The sequence below is a fragment of the Homo sapiens genome, chromosome 7 (genome assembly GCF_000001405.40).
Source record: "Homo sapiens chromosome 7, GRCh38.p14 Primary Assembly".
Taxonomy (NCBI): domain Eukaryota; kingdom Metazoa; phylum Chordata; class Mammalia; order Primates; family Hominidae; genus Homo; species Homo sapiens.
In genome coordinates, this window is record NC_000007.14 from 137550945 (window position 1) to 137577546 (window position 26602).

Genomic DNA, 26602 nt, shown 5'->3' on the forward strand with positions numbered 1-26602 from the left:
TATACAACCACTGGCATGCCACATTTTTTAACATATAACCTCAGCAATTGTGTATTTAACCTGATAGAAGGTAAAGGCAGGGAGGGCAGCAGGCACGGAGGACAGGAGGAATGAGCGAGGAGTTTCACTAAATGCAAAATGTAAACAAAGAAAGACATGTAACTAAAAAACACCTCTGGAAAATGATCTAGGAAAAATTCTGGGGGAAGTCCAGATTCTGGGAGAGAAGGAAGGAGAGGACAGACAGGATTTTTTACCCCAGCTTCAAACTGAGACCCAGATGCCAAAAGCTGGAACACTCTGAGAGCACTGTCTAATCCTGTTCCTCAACCAACATGTGCCACCACAGAGAGAGAGCAGTAAGTGTTGGTAGTGAATGAGGGCACCTGTGTTGCTGGCTATTGTAAGGACTTCTGCATACCGTTATATTGACTCAATAAATGCATGGCAAAGCACGCCCTTGCTTTACAGGCACCACAAGGAAGCCAGCCACTCAGTGCAAATAGGTAACCATGCATTACAGGCCACAAACGGGAGGAGCACCTTTGAGAGTCCCTCACTGTGATAGAGAATGACAAAAGGCTAAGTCCTGAAATGGCCTTAAGCACATAGCATGATATAGAGGAAATACTCAAAAGATGCCAAAAATTATGTTCATTTTCCGTCCCCTTCTCCAACCCCACAGACACTTAATCACTAGTTGGAGTGAGACACACTATAAGATGAATATGAATTCTAAATATCTAGCCAATATTACCTTACCTCAAGTCAGTTTATTAAAATGCCTAAGAAAGGAAAACTCCAGGTGGGATACCATGTGTTCAGGGGTAGAAAGAGTGGGTCAGGCTATGTCTGGACAATAGGATGCTGCCCAGAAAGCCAACACTGAGTTGAAGCCCCAGAGTATGGAGGACCCCAAAATGGGAACATCAGGAAGGGAACAATTCACTGGCAGGCAGAAAGAGATGCAATGTGGATAGAGGCAAGCCACTGACCAGCTCTGCCAACCACCCGTGACTGGAGAAACCAACACTCTCCAAGCGACCTGGGTAAAGAGCAGGCTAACTATGTGCTTCCCTAAAACAAAACAAACAAAAACGCATTTACCTGAACACGGTTTACCATCCTAGAATCCCTCTCAATGATTTTCTGCTAGTCCCAGTAAATATATTCTCAAGTGGTCAGTGAAGAAGAATCATCTATCTCATGTACAGTAATAACTACTAAAAGAAGGGCATGGAACTGTATAATAAACAAGGAGAAAAAAACTCTATGTGTTCCTATGAGAGAAACCAAGGAACTACTGAGTCTCCTGGACTTTTTTCCTCTTCCCAACACAGTGAGGTCCCCAGACCATGCACATGCTCTGCACTCTCCTCTCCAAGGTCTTCATGTTAAGCAAGGTAGGCCATGAGCAGACTCACTCATTGAGTAAAGGCATGGATGTTCTCCTCTTGCTCTTCTGTACCATGTTGGCCTGATTCCTCAGGGAGATCCGAATCATAGCTGGGGCCAACCTACAGGGCTCCCCATCCACTTGCATGGGGATGGATTTGTAAGTTAGAAGCATGACTTCTCGACACTGGTGTAGCCTCTCTCCATGGCCCCCAACTTGCAGGGCTGCCTATAAAAACAAGAGTCAAAGGGGAGCAAGGAGTTAGTTATTATTTAAGAAAGCTGGAGGCCAGGCGCTGTGGCTCATGCCTGTAATCCCAGCACTTTGGGAGACCAAGGCAGGTGGATCACCGGTGGTCAGGAGTTCCAGAGCAGCCTGGCCAACATGGCGAGACCCGGTCTCTACTAAAAATACAAAAAAAAAAAAAAGCTGGGCATGGTGGCAGGCACCTGTAGTCCCAGCTACTTAGGAGGCTGAGGCAAGATAATCGCTTGAACCTGGGAGGCAGAGGTTGCAGTGAGCCGAGGTCAAGCCGCTGCACTCCAGCATGGGCAATAGAGCGAGACTCCATCTCAAAGAAAAAAAAGGAAAAGAAAGCTGGAAACCCCCAAGTCCATTGTACATAACCAAGGAGTCTCTGATAAACATACTAAAATTAGTAAAATTAACCACCACCATAGTAGGAAACCTGGATAAACCATTAATGCAAATAAACCAAATATTCACAATTTTGACGAGCTTTACCATAAATTCCTATTAACTATCACTTTTTGCTCTTATATGTTTCAAATCTAAATTTAAGCATGTTAGTTTAATACAAAGCTTTTTCTTTGTGTTATCTATTCTCATTAAATAACCAATGAAAGTAGAACAAAACCAATATGAAGAATATAAAGCAGGTAGTTTATTAACCTCTAAATTGTATTTATCCAATACTTTAATATGCAGCACATTGTTACTTTTCAAGTTTAAATAGGTGTTTGCTTTTTATCTAAACTTCCACAAGCTATCTCTAACCTGTATAAGATCAACAAAATGCAAAATAACATCAATTACTTAATTTAAAACACTCTGGAAAGCAAAGCAGCTTTAAGGATCAAAATGAAAGACAGAACTCAGTTCATCATGGTAGCCACAGAATGGAGTTTCAAGACAATATTAAAAGTCTGTCATTAAGGAGCAACACATTTGTATAACCTCTTCTGACTTAGTAAAAAAAAAATGTATTTAGTATTATTTATCCTTCTAGGAAATAAAAGAAAAATCATACATTTTTGTTGTATAACATACATAGAGCACACAAATTTTATTATACAGTTTAATAAATATTTTATATACACATGTGAACCTCCATCGAGACCAAAGTTTGGAAAATGTATAACACCCAGAAGGTTCCTACGTGCCCCTTCCTAGTCTATTACACACCTCCCGCCAACTGACTGGTGAGCAAGAAAGCAGAGGAGAATGATGTGAGAAGTTACTAAAATTCTTTTTGCCTTATTATCTGATATGATTTTACTCTTTTTATTTTGTAGACTTGAGTAGGCCTCATGACAGATAAAATGTAAAACCTGCCTGGTAAGAAGGTATTCTGCTGAGTCTAACCGGACTGAAAATGGCTTGAACACCTTCCAACCTCTTGGTATTTGAAGTCATACACAGTAGTCTAGACCACTTTTAAGCCATCTTCTCAGACTCAAAAATAAAACAACAGCAAATATTACAAGCAGGTAGAGTTAATAACTGTCAATGCCGCCCCTACCGGCATTTCACAATCAATCCAAGATGGTTGCACAGAGACAAGAGGAAGTACTGTAATTAGCTTTTCAGGGTAGAGACATTTCCATTATTGTTAGCACGGTCACATTAAATTATTTTTGGAACAAATTAGAGTATAAGTAATTTTTTAAAACTTATTAGAAATACATACTTTTCATGTCTCAGATTGGTCTAGGCTTAGCATCTTATAAGACATAGTCTCTAAGAGCCCTAATAGAAAGCCCCAAGACTTTCTAGAATGAATCATTTACTATTAGTAATACTTTGATTTATTCGTGACAGTCGCTGTCTATTTAACCTAGCATGTGTTAGTCTTCTGAGAACGTCAGATATTGCTTTTCTGTGACTTGAGAGGAAAACTGAGACAGTCCCTGACCTAATGCATTCATTGCCATTTATTGACCCAAGACCATAGCTCTCCTTTGCACTGCAGCTATGTCTTGAGATTTTCTATCTTTTCACACTACACTCTTCCCTGGAATATTTTCCCTCAACCCCTCTCAAAGCATATCCTCCTCCTTACTGCCTAAGTCATTCTACTTGCTGTCAGATGGAAAGAACAGGCAATCCTGGGTTGGGGGAGGGGTGAAGCAAGAGCAAACCTTACTCTCCTTTCCTTCCTCACCGCCACTATCAGCCCCAGCCTCATTCCTGGAACAAAGTACCCGAAGGAAAAAATCTGTGACATGGAGATCAAGCGCAAGAGATCATCTGCTTGTGTTTTAAAGACTAACAAGGTAAACAAACCTCTTGTAAGACTAAACAAAAAAGAATAGAAAACATAAAACTATTTTCTTTTTTTTTTTTTTTTTTTTTGAGATGGAGTCTCACTCTGTTGCCAGGCTGGAATGCAGTGGTGCAATCTCAGCTCACTGCAACCTCCACCTCCCGGGTTCAAGTGATTCCCCTGCCTCAGCCCCCTGAGTAGCTGGGACTACAGGCATGTGCCACCACACCCGGCTAATTTTTTGTATTTTAGTAGGGACAGGTTTCACCGTGTTGGCCAGGATGGTCTCAATCTTCTGACTTCGTGATCCTCCCGCCTCGGCCTCCCAAAGTGCTGGGATTACAGGTGTGAGCCACTGTGCCTGGCCAAAATTATTTTCTTTATTAAAAATAAGAAATGGCCAGGTGCAGTGTCTCACATCTGTATCCCAGCACTTTGGGAGGCCAAAGTGGGAGGATGGCATGAGGTCAGAAGTTCAAGACCAGCTAGGGCAACATAGTCAGACTCCATCTCTACAAAAAATTTAAAAATCAGCTGAGGACGGTGGTGCATGCCTGTAGTCCCAGCTAGTTGGGAGGCTTAGGGAGGAGGAGCTTCTGAGCCCAGGAGGTCAAGGCCGCAGTGAGCTATGATCACGCCACTGCACTCCAGCCTGGCAATAGAGCAAGACCCTGTATCTAAAAAATAAAATTAAATAAATAAAATAAGGAGCTAGCTAAAGAGATAATACAGAGTTCTGAAAATCATGCAGGAATTTTAGGAAAACAATAAATCGAAAAACCTAGATAAGAAAGAAATTTCGTGGAAAAATATAACTTACGAAGTTTGGTGTAATAAATACAGAAATTAAATAGATTAGGGCTATTTTAAAAATTGAAAGAGTTATCAAAAAATGTTCCTCATTTTACCTGCCCCACTACCCCCTCCCCAAAAATGTCAAAGAGGCTAGATGTTTTATAAGTCCGTCCTACCTAAATGTTAAGGAAAGACAGTGTCTATTTAGTACAAGATGCTTTAGAAAATATGATGCTATAGCTTTTAAGGTAACAAAACTAGATAAAAGCAGTACAAGAAAACAAAAAATTTTATCCTAAATTATATTCATGATCATAATGCCAAAATCATTTAAAAACATCTAATTGCTGCCAGTGGTCTCTTTTATAGAAGTTAAAGTTATTATGGTTTATTGTTAAGAATCAAGAAATTAAGAATTACTCAACATCAGAAAATACATCATTGTAATTTCAGTACATTAATTATTTAAATGAGAAAAACCACATTATCATCTCAAAAGATTAAGCAAAAAAAGATGTTCAATGCCTTTTATGATAAAAATGAATTTCATAGAAAACTAAGAACAGAAAGTAGCTTTTGTAACTGATAAAGATCACCCACCAAGATACCTAGAAAAAAATATTATTCACAATAAAAAAAAATTTAGAAGCATTCCTTTCAAGAAACAAAGTTATCCATCAGCAACGAAAGTTTTCAACATAATATTGGAAGTACTGACCAACACAATGAGACAAAGAAATAAAATTAGAAAAAAAAAGAATTAAAAGAAAAAATGCAAACTTACTAATATTTCTACTGATATCATCCCACACACAAAAATTCCAAGAAAATTCACAGGCCAAGTGTTAAAACTCATAAGAAAGATGGCTGATACACTGTTGAATTAAAAAACCAATAGTATTCTACTACTCTAGCATTAAATAAACAAATACAATAGGATATAAAATGCCATTTACAATATCAACAAAAACAGTACATGCAGACTTTTATGCAGAAAACTTTAAAACTTTATTGAAAGATGTAAGGGAAGACTTAAGTAAATGGAGAGGCATGTTATATTCATGAACAGAATAATTCAATACTCTAATAATGTTAATTTTCCAAAATTAATGTACCAATTCAATGTAATTCAAATTAAAATAATAGAAATACTATTTTAAGGAATCTTGTTGTCATGTTAATTTCATGTCAACTTACCTAAGCCACAGTAACCAGATATTTGGTCAAACATTCTAGATGCTTCTATGAAAGTATTTTTTTAATGAGATTAACATTTAACTCAGTAGACTTTGAGTAAAGCAAACATGAGTGGGCCTCATCCAACTTGCTGAAGACTCTAAAAAGAAAAAAGAAGAACCTTCCCAGAACAGGAAGAATTTGACCTCAGCCTGCCTTTGGACTTGAGCTTAAACATCAACTGCTCCCTGGGTCTCTAGCCTGTCAGCCTACCCTGCAAATTGGTGCAAATTGGGACTTGCCAGCCTCCAATTCACAATTCACGTGAGAATAAAATAAATCTCAATCTCTCTCCCCCACTCACACACTCCCTTTTGTTCTGTTTCTTTGGAGAATCTTGACTAATATACTTATAAAAATGATTCAATAATTAATTTTGAAGGATAAAGATCCACAAATTACTAAGGATAGTTGGAAAGAACAGGGGCAATGGATAGCAGACTGCCCCTGTTAGAATCCGAAATATATAATACTTAAAGATGCAGTCATTAAAATAGTGAAAGCCAGTGGAAATGAATAACAGAACAGAATAGACTCAAAGATACGAGTACATGAACTACGGTGATGTGGCATTATAAATTATTGGAGAAATGATGGATAATTTAGCCAAAGAGGCTGGGAATATTTCCCACTATATAGAGAAAAATAAAATCAGTATTCTACCTCACGTCATACACAAAGGAACAAGAAATAAAAATACAAATATAAATATTAGTGGGCTGAAAGGGAGGAGAGAGTAAGTATTTCTTCCCATCTCTTTTTCTCAATCAGTGTCTGGCAATAGCTAGTAATTCCTTTGAGCTTCCATTTCCTACTGAGAAGCACTCTCTCCAGGCGAACCTGTCCCTGTGGCTCCAACTCAGACAGGCAGCCCTCACTGAGGCTCCAACTCTCCTGGAGCGATTCCCTTCTCCAGAGTTCTAGTTCTGCCGTATGACCCTCCCACCATGCCCATCAACAGGCCTCTCAGGTGGCCACTTCTCCCAGGTTCCAGCTCTGTTTTATAGCCTGAGCTCCTTGATGCTAATAACACCATCTTCTCTCGCTGTCCCTCTAGCCCTAGAGGTGACAGAGACTTCCTGCAGTTGTCGATTTATGAATTGCTAATCTATGGGTTGACCTCTTTTCAGTTCTTCTAGCATCCCATAACTAGCCTCCTGTACTAAATAGCCTCAATGGATCTATCTCCTATTGAATTATTTTCCTCTTTGATATACTCAGCTAGTCACCAAAATGAGAAATTTTACTTACATAATTTGCAGTGGCACCAATATCAGCTAATTCATAGTTTTTGACACAACATTTTACAAGCTATTTTACTGTCAGGAACATCTATCATTAAGATTTTTTTCATTTTATCAAGAATTAACATTTCTAGGCACTGGGTTTTTTTTATTATTTTATTTATTTATTTATGTTTGAGATGGAGTCTCACTCTGTTGCCCAGGCTGGAGTGCAGTGGCACGATCTCGGCTGACTGCAACCTCTGCCTCCAAAGCAATTCTCCTGCCTCAGCCTCCTGAGTAGCTGGGACTACAGGTGCACGCCACCATGTGCAGCTAATTTCGTTTTGTATTTTTAGTAGAGACAGGGTTTCGCCATGTTGGCCAGGCTGGTCTCAAACTCCTGACCTCAGGTGATCCACCCACCTTGGCCTCCCAAAGTGCTGGGATTATAGGTGTGAGCCACTGCGCCCAGCCCACTGGTGTGTTTTAAAGCTCCATGGTAAAACATGCTGTAGGGAACCTAAATGCTATTAGTAGTGGTGGTATTAATTATTGTCCACACTAATAAATATTTATAGCAAAAATAATTCGATAAATTCAGTTTCCTCATATGTAAAGTGATTACAGTATGCTGCTACAATCACTTTCAGAACTAGCGTTTTATGAAACTCCTGACCTCAGGTGATCCACCCACCTTGGCCTCCCAAAGTGCTGGGATTATAGGTGTGAGCCACTGCGCCCAGCCCACTGGTGTGTTTTAAAGCTCCATGGTAAAACATGCTGTAGGGAACCTAAATGCTATTAGTAGTGGTGGTATTAATTATTGTCCACACTAATAAATATTTATAGCAAAAATAATTCGATAAATTCAGTTTCCTCATATGTAAAGTGATTACAGTATGCTGCTACAATCACTTTCAGAACTAGCGTTTTATGATTCTAGGTTGTACCTACAATTCTTTTTTTTTTTTTTTTTTTTTTTTTTTGAGACGGAGTCTCGCTCTGTCGCCCAGGCTGGAGTGCAGTGGCGGGATCTCGGCTCACTGCAAGCTCCGCCTCCCGGGTTCACGCCATTCTCCTGCCTCAGCCTCCCAAGTAGCTGGGACTACAGGCGCCCGCCACTACGCCCGGCTAATTTTTTGTATTTTTAGTAGAGACGGGGTTTCACCGTTATAGCCGGGATGGTCTCGATCTCCTGACCTCGTGATCTGCCCGCCTCGGCCTCCCAAAGTGCTGGGATTACAGGCGTGAGCCACCGCGCCTGGCCTTGTACCTACAATTCTATAATCATGTTCTCAAATTCCACCTCCTCCCATCTAGAGCCCTGTTTCTTTCCTTGACTATATAAGTGATGTGATATTGTCCAGCCACTCTAAACTGCTAGAGAGTGAAAAAGAAAGAACTGCATTTGAAAAACCTCCCTTCTGCAAATTAAAAAAAATAGTAGCAATTATTGCATACTTACTATAAGTCAAAAATTTTTCTATGAAAAAGTCTTGTAAAAATCTCAAAACTCTCATTGGGATTACTTGTATACATGTGTCTTTTTTCACTTTTGTTTAATGAAAGTAGATTCTAGTCACTACCAAAGTGAGTTTATGAGAAGCAGGAAAAAAAAAAAGCCACTCTTGTGGACCTGTCCAGTTTCATAGCTGTTAGTGAGATTTAGACTCGTATTCATGATGCGGTTTGAGAAAAAAATCATTTGTATGCTTTAAAGGTAGCTATATGGACAATCATTCCTCTAAAATCTGCAATATTCTGGCAGTATAGTGACAGAATCAATAAAATATAATGGAGCAATGGAATAAAATAGATTTGTATAATTCTGGAACAAAAGAAATATACCCTATCCATCTTTTAATACTGGTCCAGTAGAATTCGTCCCTTATATAAGACTGATTTTTTATCTTGTGAAGCAGGAAGTGGAGAACTAAGTAGAATGTAATGCTAAGACAGTACACACTAAGTCACAACGAAACACAATCCAGACCCACATACGATGTATCATCCACTAGGACAACACAGGCAAAGAAGCAAGAAAACATCATCCATAATAAAATGAAAAAAACAAAATTATTGCTGAGTGAACTTAAGAGCAAATTGAAAGCTGCAGAAAAAAAGAGGCCAGTGAAGATAAAAACAGATGAATAGAAATTACCGTATCTGAAAAACAGAGACAGAAATGTTTTATTCTATTTCATGGCCTATGAGACAATAACAAGCAATCTAAAATACATTTAATTAAATCCCAGAAGCAGAGAAAGGGAGAATTGAGCATAAAATACATGAATAAAAATATTCCTAGTTCGTTGGGGAAAAAAATAAACCTTTAGGTCCAAGGAGACCAGTGGACCTAAAACAGCATAAATGCAAAGAAAACCACTGTGGTGGGCAGAACAGTGCTCACCACTACAACCACCAAAAATGATGCCCATGTTCTAACTCCCAGGAACCACACAAACCTCATGGAGCAAAAGGGCCTTTTCAGGTGTAAGTAAACTAAGGTTGTTGAGATAGGAAGATTATTCTGGATTGTCTTAGTGGACCCAATGTAGTCTCAATGGTCCTTATAAAGAAAAATTAGGGTCTAGAGAATGAAAGTCAGAGAGGACAATGCAAGAATAGAAACAGGCTGGAGTGGCACAGGACTGTAAGCCAAAGAATGTGGGCAGCCTCCAGTAGCTGAAAAAGACAAGGAAACTAATTCTTCCATAGAATCTCCAGAGGGAACACAGGCCTACAAACCCATTTTAGACTTCTGATCTCCATGAATTTAAAATAATAAATGTATGTTGTCTTAAGCCACTGTTGTGGTCATTTGTTCTCAGCAGCAATAAGAAAGTAATACAGCTACAAAGAGGTTTAAAACTAAAGATAAACTAGTACAATCACCATGGAGAGGAATATGGAGGTTCCTCAAAAAACAACAAATGGAAGTATCATATGATCCAGCAATTGCACTACTGGGCATTTATCCAATAGAAAGGAAACCAGTATATTGAAGAGACATCTGTAACCCCCATGTTTATTGCAGCACTGCTCCAATAGCCAAGATATGGAAACTGCCTAGGTGTCCAACAACAAAAAATAAAAAAAAAAATGTAGTATGTATACACAATGGAATATTATTCAGCCATTAAAAAGAATGAAATCTTGTGGCAACATGGATGAAACTGGAGAACATTATGCTAAATAAAATAAGATAGGAAGAGAACGTTAACCACCACACATTCTCGTTAATTTGTGGAAGCTAGGAAAAGTTGATCTCACAGAAGTAAAAAGTAGAACAGAGGATACTAGAGGCTAGAAAGGGTGAAGGAAAGGGAGGGACAGGAAAAAACTTGTTAAAGGATACAAAATTAAAACAAGATAGAAGAAATAAATTTTAGTGTTCTATACCACTGTAGGATGACTATAGTTGACAGTAATATCTAGTTTCAAAAAACTAGGAGGAGGATATTAAATGTTCCCAACACAAAGAAATGACAAATGTTTGAGATGATCGATATGCTAATTATCCTGATTTGATCACTGTACATTATATGTGTTGAAGCATCATTATGTATTCCATCAATATGCACAATTACTACTCATAAATTAAAATTTTGATTTTTAAAAAAACAACAAATAAAGAGAAAATCTCAAGAACAGAGAAAAAAAGACACACTATATACAAGGAAATAATGATGCAAATGACAGCTGACTTTTCATTATAAAATATGGAGGCCAGAAGAAAACAAAACAACTATTTAAAGAGCTAAAGCAAGACGAACAAAAACAAACCTGTCAGTCCAGAATTCAGAATTCTATATCTACAAAAACATAATTCAAAGAATGAGGATAAAATAAAGACATTTTCAGAAAAATAAAATTTAAAACTATTTGTTGCCAACAGAACTTCACTATAAGAAATGTTAGAGGAAATCATTGAAATTAAAGAAAAATGACGCCAGATGGAAACTTGGATCAACAGGAAGGAGTGAATAGCACTGGAAAGGGAGACAGGTGGGTAACAAAGGACTTTCTATTTGTCTTTCATCTCTTAATTTCTTTAAAAGTAACAATTGTTCAAAGCAAATACATTAATGCTGATTTGTGGAGCTCATATGGAATGTGAAAGATGTATGGAAGTAAGAGTATAAGGTAATGCTGGGCACAGTGGCTCACGCCTGTAATCCCAACACTTTGGGAGGCCAAGGTGGGCAGATCACCAGAGGTCAGGAGTTCGAGACCAGCCTGGCCAACATGGTGAAACCTCGCCTCTACTAAAAATACAAAAATTAGCCGGCCCTTGTGGCGGGCACCTATAATCCCAGCTATTCAGGAGGCTGAGGCAGGAGAATCACCTGAACCTAGGAGACAGAGGTTGCAGTGGCCAAGATCATGCCACTGCACTCCAGTCTGGGCAACAAGAGCAAAACTCCATATCAAAAAATAAAAAAGAGCATAAGGTAAGAAAGAGAAGAAGGATTATGAGAAAAAGATAGGTAAATTGATAAAATTACTTGTATCCAGAATGGAGGGGGGATCCTACAAACAGTAAAATATTAATAGCATTGTAAACATAAACTCAACAATTTAGACAAAATAATGAACAAGTTTCATGAAATATTTAACTTAATAAAGTTGACTCAAGAAGAAATAGATAATATGAATAATTCTATATCTATACTTGCCTTAAAGAAATCTCAAAGCCAAATAGTATATTAGGAAATTTTATGAAATATATAAGGAAAAAAATCATAGTACCAGTCTTCACAAATTCTTTCAGGAAATAGAAGAGAATGTCATTTCTTGTCTCAGATTCCAAGGCCAGTAGAACCTTTATATCAAAACCCAATCAAATTATGCAAGAAAAGAAATTTATTTATCGCTCTCCCTCATAATCATAATCACAAAAATGCTTAACAAAATATTAGTAAACTGTATCTAGCAATATAAAAATGATAATAAATCAAGCCTAAGAGGGGCTTATCCTAGAAATGCAAGATCAGTATAAGATTTTTAAAAATTAATGAAATTAGTGATATAAACAAAAGAAAGGGGAAAATTGTATGTCAATTTCACAGATACAAAAAACCTTTGATAAAATACACCACTCATTTGTGATCAAAAGCTCTCAGGAAAGTAGGAATGAAATGGAAATTCCTTCATCATATAAAGGACACTAATAAAAAAAAACTACAATTAAGCATATTTTATGAAAAATATGGAATGCTTCCCCATGTAATCAGGAACAATACAAACATGTGCATTCTTATCATTTTTATTCAACATCTTAGTGAACATCCAAGAAAAAGAAATTTTAAAGAATTTTCTAGAGTGGCATAAAAATTTTTTAAATAAAAAATAAAAATGGAAAGGCATGTAAGGAAACAGTAAAACTCTATTTCAAACAATATAATTGTGGTTGCAGAAAAACCTAAGGAATCTATTAAAAAAAACAAGCTACTGGATCTAATAAGTCAATTTAGCAAAGTTATGAGACAAGGTCAATAAACAAATATGTATTTGTATATGTATAGACACACATATAGTTATTTCTATATATTAGCAATAATTAAATGTAAAATTTAAATTACTGTTTAAGATAGCATTAAAAATACTTAGAAATAAATTTAACAAAAGGTGTGCAAAAACCTGAAAATTGCACTGAAGCTACAAAACATTGTTGATGGATATTAAATACCTAAATAAATGGAGAAATATACCATGTTCATGGATTGGAACATTCATATTGTTAATATTCCAATTCCTCCCCAAATTATCTAAAACTTAAATGCAATTCCAATTAAAATCCTAATTTTTTGCAGATAATAACAGATTCTAATATTTATATGCAAATGCCCAAAGATCTAGAACAAGGAAAACACTGTTAGAACAATAAAGTGATTCATATTACCAGATTCAAGGGTTACCATACAGCTAATTAAGACAGTGTGGTATTGGCAATGAGGATAAACAAATCAATGGAACAGAATAGAATCTAGACACCAAGCAAAAGCACCAAAGCAATTTTACAGAAAAGGAAAGTTTATTCAACAAATAGTGCTGGAAAAAGCTGGATAAATGCATTTTTTATGAATGAATATGTATCTTACACAATACACAAAAATTAATTTGAGCTGAATCATATACTTACATATAAAAGCCAAAATTATAAATCTTCAAGAAGAAAATATAGGAGAATGGCCTCCCAATCTTTCTGGGAGTAATCAAAGATTTCTTAGGAAGCACACAAAAAGCTCTAATACAAATTAAGCCTTTTTCATAAAATTGGATGTTTAAAACATGCTCATCAAAACAAACACTAAAAACACAAAAAGGAAAAGTATAAACAAAAAGAATTTATTTTTAATAAATAAATCTGTCAGAAGACTTGTATCCAGAATATATCTCTTCTATTTCAACAATAAATGATAAACAGCCCATTAAAATATGCAAAAAAACACATTTGACTTCTTTTAAAAAAAACAAAATGGTAACAATAAAAATAAACTTATCCTTACTCTCAAATGTTGTTGTTTGTAAGGACATAATTGTCTGTTCCAGAATTTTATCTGTATAAAACATATATAATTCCTTTACTTCCTTCCAGGGATGGAAGTTTATTCTCTTCCCTGTTTCATCAAGTATAATATTTAAACATCATTTATGTCTGTATCCATTAACACATTTTCAACATCTGTTGGATATTTAAATCACTTCTCTGAGCACAAGGGCGGTCCCTCGTGCCACCTGGAATGCAGCTGGCTGGCCTTCAGCGACCCCCAACGCCTTGCGGGGCTCCTACCGCCCCCACCGCCACAGTCGCGGCCGGCCCCAGGAACTCTGTCTACTAAATCACTTCTCATCCAGGAACTCTATATGCCGCTCTTGGGCAAGTAAACAGTATGACATTTCTAAAAAATAATTCTATAATTTTTAGTAAGAGGCTTCAAAATGCTTATGTCATTGTAATTTCCTTAGGATTTGCCATAAGAAAATAATTTGAAATGTGAAGAGAGGTTTACAAACAATTATGTTAATTACAGGATTATCTGCAATATAAAACATCAAAAACCTAAAAGCTTCATAAAGGAAACTTTGCATAAAATAATTATTACATAAATTAGGCTATATTTATACAATAAAAAAGTAGGTAGCCATTTGTAGTATGGGTTTTCCTTATAATATGGTTTCATGTATTTTTAAAAATGTAAAAATAAAGCAATTAGAAACACATCAAATATAGTTATTTATTTATGAGTCATAAAATTATAACTGATAATTTACTTTAATTCTTATGTATATTATCAAAATAAGCATACATTTAATATTACCTTTTTCTTAAAACAAAGATATATGGTAAGTGTAAAACTTCAACCCTGAGAATTTCTCCATGTCCTTTTTACTCACTGGATAACCTCTTGCTTTCCTAATTCATAACTATAAAGAAACTTACACAGTTTTATTTCAATTAACAAAAAGAAAGCTGGACGTGCCTTCTTTAAAGTTTACGAGACTGAAATCTTTGGATTTCATACTGAATGGCAAATTAGGTTCCCAATTCCTCTGACTGAATAATGCTTTGAACGTCTTGAGAAGTTTAAATTACTTAGAAACAAACTCAACATGAAAGGACCTTAGAAACAATAATGGCAGAAAATTGTGGCAGAAATAAATACAAATTACAATGTCTGATTATGGTCTGTGTAAACTCCAAAAAGGTAATCAGATTACCCAGCACCCAATGAAGAATCATCTTAATTAGCAGGAATGCATTTCAACCAGTAAAATGAATTGAAGACTTCTACTTTGAAATTTGCAATTACAAGATAAAGAGTCTAAAAGAAACAGTCTTTTTTCTCATTCCAGTAATTCTATTTCAAAGCTCTCTTATAATAAAAGTGCCATTCTGAATTTTCAATTTTTTGGATTTCACTGAAATCATAAGCAATGTACAAATATATTTATTAGTGTATTCCATGATTTTAAGTTTATAGCCTTTAATTACTACACACATATAAATTTCTAAGAAAAATAGTTTGTTTCTAAAAAGCTTGACCTACTGGTTATGTTTTTAATTATATAGCAGCTATATTAAATATGCAAAAATATATACACATATACCCAAATAACTATATTTGTCTGTTTACATAATCATCTTAAACAAATGTTTGAGTTTTCAAATAATTTACTTCCTTAGAAATATAAGCAATATAGTAGTTCAAGAAATGTGAAATTGAAGACTGCAAATTAGATTATTTCATCCTGAATGAAAAAAAAATACAATGCTTTACTGCTATATGAGTAGCAAGTAGTAAGATAAAATGTGTCTAAAAAGAGAGAAATATATGCCAGTATACATTTAGAGGTCATAGAATGTTCAAAACCATACAGTTTAAACTCCATTTAATTTTGCTTTTCTTAGATAGCATTCTCTTTCTTGGAAGCAATTAGAGTCACTGGAATCTGAGATTCAATCATGCATTTGATGCTAGCTGATGATGTATATGGATTACCTTATTCACATGATGAAAAGAGAAAAAAATAATGGACCTAATTTTAGTATTCCATTTCCTTTTTTGCCAACTACCATCTGCGATTATTTCTCTTTTTCCTACAAATGATAGGAGAAGAATAAAAAGGATCTGGCAGAACCCCTCCCTCTCCAAAACAATCTCTCCTGAAAAGATCTCCTGAACTCTAAACATATATTTTAAATTGCCCATTTCTATATTTCCTTAGATGTCTTACAGAGATTTTGAATTTAAAATAGATAAAACACAGTGTATTTCTTTTGAGATATTCTCTCTTTTATGTTTTCTATCTCATTTAATGCATTTATCCTTTACCTAGCTATCTAGGTAAAGAAGGATAGAATTAGAATATCAGGCCAGGCATGGTGGCTCATGCCTGTAACCCAAGCATTTTGAGAGGCCGAGGCGGGTGGATCACTTGAGGTCAGGAGTTCAAGACCAGCCTGACCAACATGGTGAAACCCCATCTCTACTAAAAATACAAAATTAGCCAGGTGTGGTGGCGGGTGCCTGTAATCCCAGCTACTTGGGGGGCTAAGGCAGGAGAATCGCTTGAACTCGGGAGGCAGAGGTTACAGTGAGCCGAGATTGCACCATTGCACTCCAGCCTGGGCAACAAGAGCAAAACTCCATCTCAAAAAAAAAAAAAAGAGAATTAGAATATCACTATTTTGCAACCCTTAATGTTTCCTACATCCAGACATTGACCATCAATATCTGCCAACATTAAAAAAGGAGAAAGAAAGCCAGACATTATATATTCTTTTTTAGAAAAAGAAAACACTGCTTACAAAGTAGATTTGGGGGAAAATATATGTAGTGTATGTAGATCCAGCTATCAAGTACAGAAAAAAGAAAGAAGCACATTTTAATAAATGCCTCAGGGATCCTATCTGCAAAATTCAGACTCAGAAACTTGACAGGACAAATGACCAGTTTCTTCAATAAATAAATGAGGAAGAGTTGAAGGGGAAACTACGGAGAGTTTAAGGTCATATCAACCAACCACAATGTGTAAGTTTTATCTGGATTCCGACTCAAAGAAACTGCATAAGAAAATAAATGATATTTGTGAGACAACTGGAAATTCAAACTCTGAGTAAATATTTAGTGATATTCAGGTACTATTATTTTCATTTTTTTAAATAATATACTGTTATTGTGGTTGTGTTTATAAAAGAAAGTATCTTTTAAAAGTCCATTTCGAATTATTGATGGATAAAATGATATATATGCTATGCATATGATGTATATATGACATATATTGTATATACGTAATGTCTAGGATTTGCTCCAGAATAATATAATGGAAGAGGTTGTAGGTGGGACAAATATAAGATTGTCCATGAATTGAAAATTATAAAAGCTGAGTGATGATACTTGGGAGTTTGTTGTATTATTTTGTCTATTTTTACACTGAAACCTTCCCATATAAATATTTATCTTTAAAAAAATTTTACTAACTCCTCAAGAATGCTGAATAAAGTAAATGCTCCTAGATCAGTGCTGTGATGCACTCTATGATCTGGCCCTTACCCACATCTTTAGCACCACCTGTGATCACTCTCTCTTTTCACCTACATTTAAACTACATGAAACTACTTATAGTTCCCACAAAGCACTACAATTCCTCCTACTTCCAAATGTTTGTAAATTTTCCTTTTTCCAGAATGCCAAGTTCCATTCTTCTTCTCCTGGTAAAATTCAGTCAGTCACGTCACGCATTGCCAACTGCATGCCACAGGCTCCCTGTTGTGGACTGGCCACCCACAGTGGAGTGATGGATATTCACCATTTGCTGCCCCAGCTGCCTCTCCAGCCTTCCCTGCCCTCTTTTCTGCTCTGTGAGGCTGAGCTATTTGGACTGCATCAGTGGCTCCCATGTCTTCTGGCTTCCAATCAGACTTCTCCAGATAGACCCACCAGCAGAAGATCTAGAGGTCAAGGTGAAGTGGGCAGTCGCTGTATTTATGTCCCTGGCTTGCTCTCTGCCAGGTGAGCACAGGTTGCTTGCTTCCTCTTTGCAAATATCACTCCTATCACGTAACCCTTTCCAAGTAGTTCTTTTTCTGGTACTGTTTTTCCTTTTTATCTTCTTTTCCTTTTTATCTTCAGCTCAAGAATTGGTTTCTCATAAACCTAGTGCACTATTTGTGAAAGAGCCCTCCATTCAACTCTCCACTAATTACCCAGTTTCAGTATTGCTCCTATATAATTAGTGTAATATTCTAATTATCATACTAAATATACGAATTAGTATAATAAAAATTATACTAATTATACAATTGTTAGAAAAAAAAAACACCCATACCAGAAAAGACTACAAAAAGAACAAGAACAAGACACAGATATAGTCTGAGAAGGCATAGAAGAAACAGTTGAAGTACATTTCAGAGAGAGAGAGCACACGTGCAATGGCTTGGTGGTACAAAAGAAGCAAGGGAGAGCCGATGCTGTGCTTCACTTGTCAGCTGCTTGAGCTAGAAAGCAAAGATGAGAGCAGGGAAGGCTAGAGAACCAGACAGAACCTCAACTTTACAGGCCAAATAAGGACAGAGATTTTGATCCTAAGAGCAATGGGGAAATACTGAATATTCCCCTTGGACTTCCAGGCCTAGGTAAGGGATTGTCATCTTGCAGACAATCCCTGAGAGCCTTCTACCACAGTCAGAACTAGGAGGCTCTAGCACATGATAACCACTCAATAAATGTTCACTCGATCAGTGAATAAAGAATAAGTAACCCACGTATGGACAGTTTAGAGAGTTTTTTCCATCATATACGGGCATGATTTTGTCACCTCCAAGAATTCTTCCCTGGCCGGGTGCGGTGGCTCACGCCTGTAATCCCAGCACTTTGGGAGGCTGAGGTGGGTGGACCACGAGGTCAGGAGATCGAGACCATCCTGGCAAACATGGTGAAATCTCGTCTCTACTAAAAATACAAAAAAATTAGCCGGGCGTGGTGGTGGGCGCCTGTAGTCCCAGCTACTCGGGAGGCTGAGGCAGGAGAATGGCGTGAACCCAGGAGGTAGAGCTTGCAGTGAGCCGAAATTGCTCCACTGCACTCCAGCCTGGGCAACAGAGTGAGACTCTGTCTCAAAAAAAAAAAAAAAAAAAAAAAAAAAAAAAAAAAAAAAAAAAAGAATTCTTCCCTGCATATATCCTTCCTAAACTTAATCCTATTTGCTCTTGGCTTGTATCTTCATTTGCAATAAACATAAAAAGCTCTGGAGATAAGGAGCTATATTGTGTTACAACGCTGGAAAGTAAGTCAACCCCAGTCCAATCTTTTCTACCATGACAACTATTTTATTCTAGAGATGAGTTAACAAGGGCCATCACAAAATCAGGTGATGAAGATTCTTGCCATAAGCACAATAGATTTTTCTGTTAAACTTCACTAATTTGAGGTAGAGTTATTTGGAATTCATAAGATGAGTAAAAGAGAGACCTATTTTGATTTGTTTAGAATGAGAAATACAACCTTCTTTCTTTTATGCATAAGGTACAGCACAAATCATGTGCCAACCAAAGGTGACAAGCAGAAGCTTTGTTTTTATTTGCATTACAAACTCAGTGTGGCCTGATTTACACAAGAAATGATAAGCATAATTTTAACTGGTCCGCACATCATTTAATAATAAGCAGGAATGCATGGCTAAAACCTGTTTGAAAATATACTTACACTATAAATTTCCTTCCTTAATGCAAGCAAACAAAATTAAAATACAAGGTGATCTCAATATTGTGGCAACTGAGTATGCACTAATATCACAATAATGATGTCTTTGTATATTCAGATATTTTGTGATAATGGAGATGATCATTTTACTCATAAGTAAGACGGATATCCACAAGTTGCTACTGTCTCTTTTTTACCTAAACACAAAACTCCTCAGTGAACCAAAAAAGTATAAAATGCTATGGCTTCTGTGCCAATGCTGGGATGTTTCTATAGTGTAATTTTTTTTTTTTTTTTTGAGATGCAGTTTCACTCGTCACCCAGGCTGGAGTGCAGTGGCACAATTTCAGCTCACTGCAACCTTTGCCTCCTGTGTTCAAGCAATTATCCTGCATCAGCCTCCCAAGTAGCTGGAATTACAGGCAGCACATCATACCCAGCTAATTTTTGTAGTTTTAGTAGAGGCAGGTTTCACCATGTTGGTCAGGCTCTTCTGGAACTCCTGACCTCAGTTGATCCACCCACCTCGGCCTCCCAAAGTGCTGGGATTACAGGCATGAGCCACTGCACCCAGCCCAGTGTAATGTTTTTAATTAGCATAAAAACTTTTCATTCTGTTAGAAAATTAATCAGGAAAAGTAAGAAGTGATACTCATTTATTCTTGAGGTTCAAACAAATGTGCATCAGTTTTCTTAGTGACATAAATGATGATTTTTTTTCTTGTTTTTCCTAAGCAACTCTATAATTCATAAAATGTGTAACTTGATAAAGCAGGAGAAAAAGTTAACTAAAGTCCTGTGAATTGAATAAACTCTGTGACTAAAATACATTTCATTTTAATAAAACAGTTATATTGCTCACCAAAGAGGCCATGGTAAATCCAATGACTTCAATATAACCATCATCATGACGCTGAGGTTCGAAATCATGGTGATCACCTGGGTTTCCCCAGGGCATTGTGCCAGCACAATATCTGCAAGAGAAGATTAAAGACAGAAGTAAATATGTCCCATCCTTCTCATGACTATCATGAGGTGTTAGTTTGTAGTTAGACCCAATGTTTATCAAACATAAAAACAGTTTTCCATTCTTGGTACACACCTTCCATTAGAAAAGGAAATGCACTTCTTATCATCTACAAAATACCAAGCTGTGAAAACGGGCCATAATTTTGCAACAAAAGTATCCTGTGGTATCCAACTTTCTCCTCGTTCGTTATCTATATTTCTCACTATGATTCATGTATGTCTGTTTTCTATGATATATCATGAATTATCTATAGGTGGTTTCAGAATTTGGTCTTAAAGGAAGATGTATGCATGCCAGTAGAAAAGAGACAGGGAAATGAAGTGGGAAGCATTTGCCATTAATACATAAGCAAAATAAGAGGTACTCACAGGAGAAGGGAAAGGTAACTATGGAAGACAGAGTGAAGAAGAGATGAAATATAGATAAGAGATTAGAAAGAGAATGGGAAACAGAAGAAATTGGAGAAATAGAGGAAGAAGAATACAGATGGAAAGAGGGAGAAGCAAGAAAAGACAGAAGAAGGACAAGAGAGGAAGAAGGACAAGAGAGGAAGGACAAGAGAAAGAATAATAAAGCAAAGTAATAAACAATGCTTTCTGAGAATCAAGGCCTTCTACTTCAATTAAGCTGTAAATATTTCTGGAATAAAATTGTAACTGACTATATTGAGCACTGCCAAGAATAATCAGGAGACTATGATGTGTTTTCCTAGCCACAGATTTACATACAACTCTCATTTCAATTAAATTCAGTCTAAATACAATGTATTTGCAGATTTTGTGTCTGAGTTGTTTGGCAGGCAAATAAATGGTTATAGATCCATCCCTTCCAAAATCTTGGCTTCAGGGCCTAGAACATAATTTATGCCACTGAGATAATATGTTTATTTTGAGTCTAGTTATCTTAAATATCCCTTTCTCCTGAAGTGCGTAATAGCACCATGGAGAGTTGACATCCTGGCTAGAAAACAATACTCTAACTCATCCTATTTTTCAAAGAAATCATCTGGCAACAATTTTGAATGAATTCCGCACTTGAATCAGACTGGATGGTTTTTCAACAGTTTTTAGGAAACTGAGAACAAAAAAAGTGTTTCAATTCTCTCATTCTTAGATGGGGAGGAAGAGGGGAAGAACAGTAATTTAGAAATAAATTAAGATGTTCCAGTCAAGAGGGGTGCCTGGGTTTCTTAAAGATGGGTAAGTACAGACAATGCATGCCACATGACGCACAAAACCACCAACCACAAAGAACACTAAATAAACCAAATCGGAGAATGAATTATCAGACCTAGAAATCTTTAATTACCCATTTAGATAACTGATCTTCATTGTTTACATCTGAAACTTTTCTGTTATGAAAACAGATAACCTCAAGTCAGAGTTCACGTCAAACCAAGGAAACAATACAAACAGAGCCTACCTGGGTATATTTAAAAATACTATACACTGGAACTTCAGTTCCTGAATCTTTGGGGTGAGATCTGTTCCATCACACTGAAACAATGAAAACAGAAAAGGGGTTTTGAAGTAGTCACAAGTCTAAAAACCTATGAAAGATAACTAGTTTGACAATAGTACACACCATGGTCTCTTTCTCCTTGCCCTATCTCTGCTTAAGTGAATGCCGGTCACAGTGATTAAAAATATATTCTGGTTATAGCTTTACTGGACCCAGGGTACAGAGGTTGGTTTTGTTCGCACTTAAGGTAAGAACAAAACCTCCATTTGATTAAAATGATTTCTTCTCTGGTCTCACAATCAAAGGAAATATTATCATTCTTAACAATGGATGATTATTAGTTATCTAGACTGATGGTGTCAACATTAAAAGATTTATGAACACTTAAAAGAATGAAAAGAAAAAAGCCTCAAGTTAAAGCAGTAGTATTCACCACCATCATTATCTGATTCAAACAAGTCACAAATATAATGATTTATTTTCTTCGTTTTTTGAGACAATTTTTATTTTGCAAATGTCAAATATTTTGAAGACTTTTTAAAAAGTCTATGTACCGCAAACTTTTGAAAAGATATCTATCATACAGTAGTATTATCTTCATTCGTGGTTTGTTCTTAGAAACTTAATCTTGTACAGACTCACCCAGGCCGAAGTGCAATGGCGTGATCTCAGCTCACTGCAACCTCAGCCTGCCAGGTTCAAGCGATTCTCCTGCCTCAGCCTCCCAAGTAGCTGGGATTACAGGTGCCCGCCACCACGCCCAGCTAATTTTTGTATTTTTAGTAGAGACGGGGTTTCACCATGTTGGCCAGACTGGTCTTGAACTCCTGACCTCAGGTCATCCACCCGCCTTGGCCTCACAAAGTGCTGGGATTATAGGCGTGAGCCACTGCGCCTGGCCATTCAGACTTTAGACTTCTAAGATTCACTGTCTTCCTGGAATTTAGACCTGGGAATCAAGGGTCTCAGCCTAGCTTGGCCTCAACAACCCTCGAACATGGATGGCTTCCCTGATCTGCTAGCGCTTTCTGCAAGGGTATCATCCTTTGATAAATCAAGGAAAAGTCTTTCATGTTCCTTTCTCATTTCCCACTGGTGACAAAAGTCAAAAGAGAATAACTCTAGTCATGACTATAGACTTTCCGATGTCAAAGGCGTAAAGCCTGCTCTCGTATTTGCTTTCCTTATACCCTTATCACAGGATTTCCCCATTACCTTCTCATTTGGAGAGAGGAGCAAAGCATCCCCAAGCTCCCTGCAAATTCTGAAAGAGTTCTTTAGGATCAGTTTCAATCTAAGTATAATGATTTTGCTAGTGGTCAGGTTGTCTCCAGCACCTGCATTTTTTTTCCCAGTCGATCTCCATACAGCCTAATTTTCATGAGTATTCTCAAAGAATTGTTTCCAAGAAATCTTACAATTTTAAATAAACAAATTATTTTCAAATATAACTTAGTAATAAAATTCTAGACATTAAAGATGTTTTTCTAGTACTCTCAACTACTAAGCAAACATCTTCCAACTTACTTAAGAACTTGAAATGAGTTATAAATGACTATGCCAATGAATAAAAAAGTAGACATTGTAAATGTCAAAATTGCATGTTATAAGCAACTAAAACTTAAAACCTAGGATGTGATATATTAATAGTGTATAAAGCATTATGGTTGCATTGCAGAAAGATTATAATAAATATTATTGTATTTAGAACAGAATTCATTTTTTAACTTTCTACTTTTTCCTTCTGGGAAACATGTTAGTGATTCTGGGAACTCATCAAATCATACGAAAATGTGGGCCTTACACTGTATACTGCTTTACAGAGATTTTTTTATATATTATTGCAATAAACTGTGCAATTCCTTTAGAATAGCAGTTTTCAACTTTTTCCCAACTTCAAATACACACAAAGGGACATATTTGCATCCAAAATATGTTCCTTTGTATAAGCTCATATACTGATAAATAACAAGAAGAAAATATGGAAAGTGGAACAAATAATGGCTATATGTAGGTTTTTACTGTCATTTTGTATTTTCTCAGTCTAATATTCAAATACATATTTTATATCTCTATGAGACATTACTAGCTATTGCATTAGAAACACTGACTTCACCCTCTGACAAAGAAAAGATGCTCTGTTGTTGGGGAGACATCTAATCACTCTCACTAACCTTCCATCCTTTTCATCTCACACTCAGGAAAACATAGAATGATGTCATTGCAAAAGTATCCTTGTGTCTCTCTATGTCACAGCACAATGGTCAAAAACCATTGCATCAAAGACATGTCTTGTTACACCTATTTGACAGATGAAGAAAGCAAACTCCTCTGAAAGGTTAAATGATTTCCCCAAAGTCATATACCTAGCAAAGGTAGACCTAACTAAATCCCAAATGTTTACACCTAGTTATAATGATTTTTTTCCTCCTCATAAGATATAATTTATATAAACATTCCACCTTTAATATTACATATATAGGCTGATATCACATCTTTCCTAGTTATTTGCTGCCATTTTGGCCTCTCTGCAAGCATCTTTTAGACTCTACTATAAAGTCACCCATGCATGAGACATGTATCATCAAGGGGACTGAGATATGAGAGAGAAAACTCTCTAGCAGTTAGGAAGTTACAGAGTTTGATATCAATCCGGTGACTTGCACAGTACACTGCCATTCTATATGGCCACCACCCAGCATGCACTGGGTCTCCTGGCAGGTACTGTGGATGCGCCTGTAAATGCAAAACACACTGGAAAGGGCAGTAAAGTTTAATTTTTGCTAGGCTGCAGGCAGCTGAAGAAACAGGGGAAGTTTAATGTAAGGTTGCTGCTACTTAAATTTAATAGCCACGATTTTATTGAAATAATAATCCTCATAGTTCAATGGGCCCTGTGTTCTTGTATCTAGCTTTAAGAAGGCAATATTTCAGTCTCAAGCGTCTCCACCACTAAAAGATACTTGCTTTATATTTTTATTGTATGAGAACTGAAACATCTGAAAGGGATGCCAAGTGTTGCTAATAGCAGCGGTAAAGGCCTTTGTCTCTTGTTTCAACTGATTTAGGAGATTCATGTCTTATACATGCTTTACTGGTGATTACACATTTTAATTTTTATATTTTCATGCTCCTTATATTTCTTCATATCTCATTAGCTTAAGATCATATATTTTTCTCTATTTTCATGTATATATTTTGTTCTGTTCTCTCTTGTCAAAATTAATCTTTTTCTTTTTCTTTTTTTTTTTTTTAGACGGAGTGTTGCTCTGTCGCCCAGGCTGGAGTGCAGTGGTGCGGTCTCGGCTCACTGCAACCTCTGCCTCCCAGGTTCAAGCAATCTCCTGCCTCAGCCTCCCGAGTAGCTGGGACTACAGGCACATGCCACCACGCCTGCCTAATTTTTTGTATTTTGATAGAGATGGGATTTCACCATTTTGCCCAGGCTGCTCTCGAACTCCTGAGCTCAGGCAATCCAGCTGCCTCGGCCTCCCAAAGAGCTAGGATTACAGGCATGAGCCACCGCGCCTGGCCCATCAAAATTATTCTTATTCTTTAGAATAAGATAAATTCAAGCATTGATAAATTCAAACATTGCTATATTCTCATCACTTCTTTTCCATCTATATATCTTTTTTCTCTTTCTCATTCTGTCATTTACTTATACGACTATGTGCAACAAAGTCATGTTCCTTCCTTCTTTTAACTTGTTTACTATAAGGAAACATTAATGTTTTTCTTAATACCTAATTTTATTCTATTTTTGAATGTGTCACCTTGAGAAAGATAAATTTCTCTCTCCCTTGCCCCCAAGCAGTATATTTCCGCAACCTGATATAGAGACCCAGGAAGAAACAGCACATACACAAAAAATCCATCTAGTGGTGAGGAACCTTGACCAGGTGGGAGAGTGAGTCACCACAAAATAATGAAATCAACACTTCGTTCTAAAATGGAGATTATCCTGGAATAAATATCCTCCTCAGATTATCCTGGAATAAAGATACTTGTTTGGAGAGTACCGATTTATGCTTCAAGACCCAGCTAACATCATTTTTTTTTATAAAGGTCTTCCTGACCCCACCATAGTCAGAGTTATCACTTCTCCCTTTGTGCCACAACCATATTATACACACGGTTGAATAACAGTTTTATTGTTCTGAAGTGACTTATGTGACCTTCTTCAAAACTGAACTGTGAGTTTCTTCAGGAGCGAAACTAGTCTTTTCATTTATCTTCATCCCCAGCAACTAAGACAGTGCCTGACACATAATAAGTGTAGGTTGAATGAACTACACAAAATGATCTCCAAAGTTCTATGCAGTCCAGTGATTCAATATATAAACTAAGTATTTGGGAGTTTTTTGTGGCAGTCATATCATATTCAAATTAAATAAATCAACATATTCAATACTTACAACAACTTTAACATGTTTGGATAGATCTCTAGAACTTCTCTGTAGGAAGTCAGAAAAAGCTGCCTATACCACAGGGAAATAAAGAAGAAGAAATTCGTAATTACATGGTGATACCAAATCCTTGCTTCCATATCCTAGATTCCAAGGATTCCAAAGTATGCAAAAATTCTAAACATGTTCTCTTTCTGCAGAATCCAAAGTAAAGCAGTGCAGTAGTTGTCAAGTTGAAATTTTTCTCTTTGTTTCCAAACTATAATTTACAGTTTCACTATAAATTTAAGAACACAGAATGAGAGTGAAAAATAGACAATTCTGAGGGTCATTG

The 26602-nt window shown here is 36.5% G+C and overlaps 1 protein-coding gene across 8 annotated transcripts in view; it reads right to left on the minus strand.

Annotated features, from left to right (window-relative positions):
- Positions 1–26602, minus strand: part of DGKI (diacylglycerol kinase iota) — a 465938-nt gene that overhangs the window by 169908 nt on the left and 269428 nt on the right. For all 8 annotated transcript variants that reach the window (XM_047421022.1, NM_001321708.2, XM_047421021.1 and 5 more), the window contains 4 exons: positions 26278–26340; positions 21821–21894; positions 20231–20342; positions 1425–1624 (listed from right to left, as the gene is read on the minus strand). In XM_047421022.1, coding sequence (XP_047276978.1) covers positions 1425–1624; positions 20231–20342; positions 21821–21894; positions 26278–26340 — 449 coding nt within the window. The remainder of the gene's footprint in view (positions 1–1424; positions 1625–20230; positions 20343–21820; positions 21895–26277; positions 26341–26602) is intronic.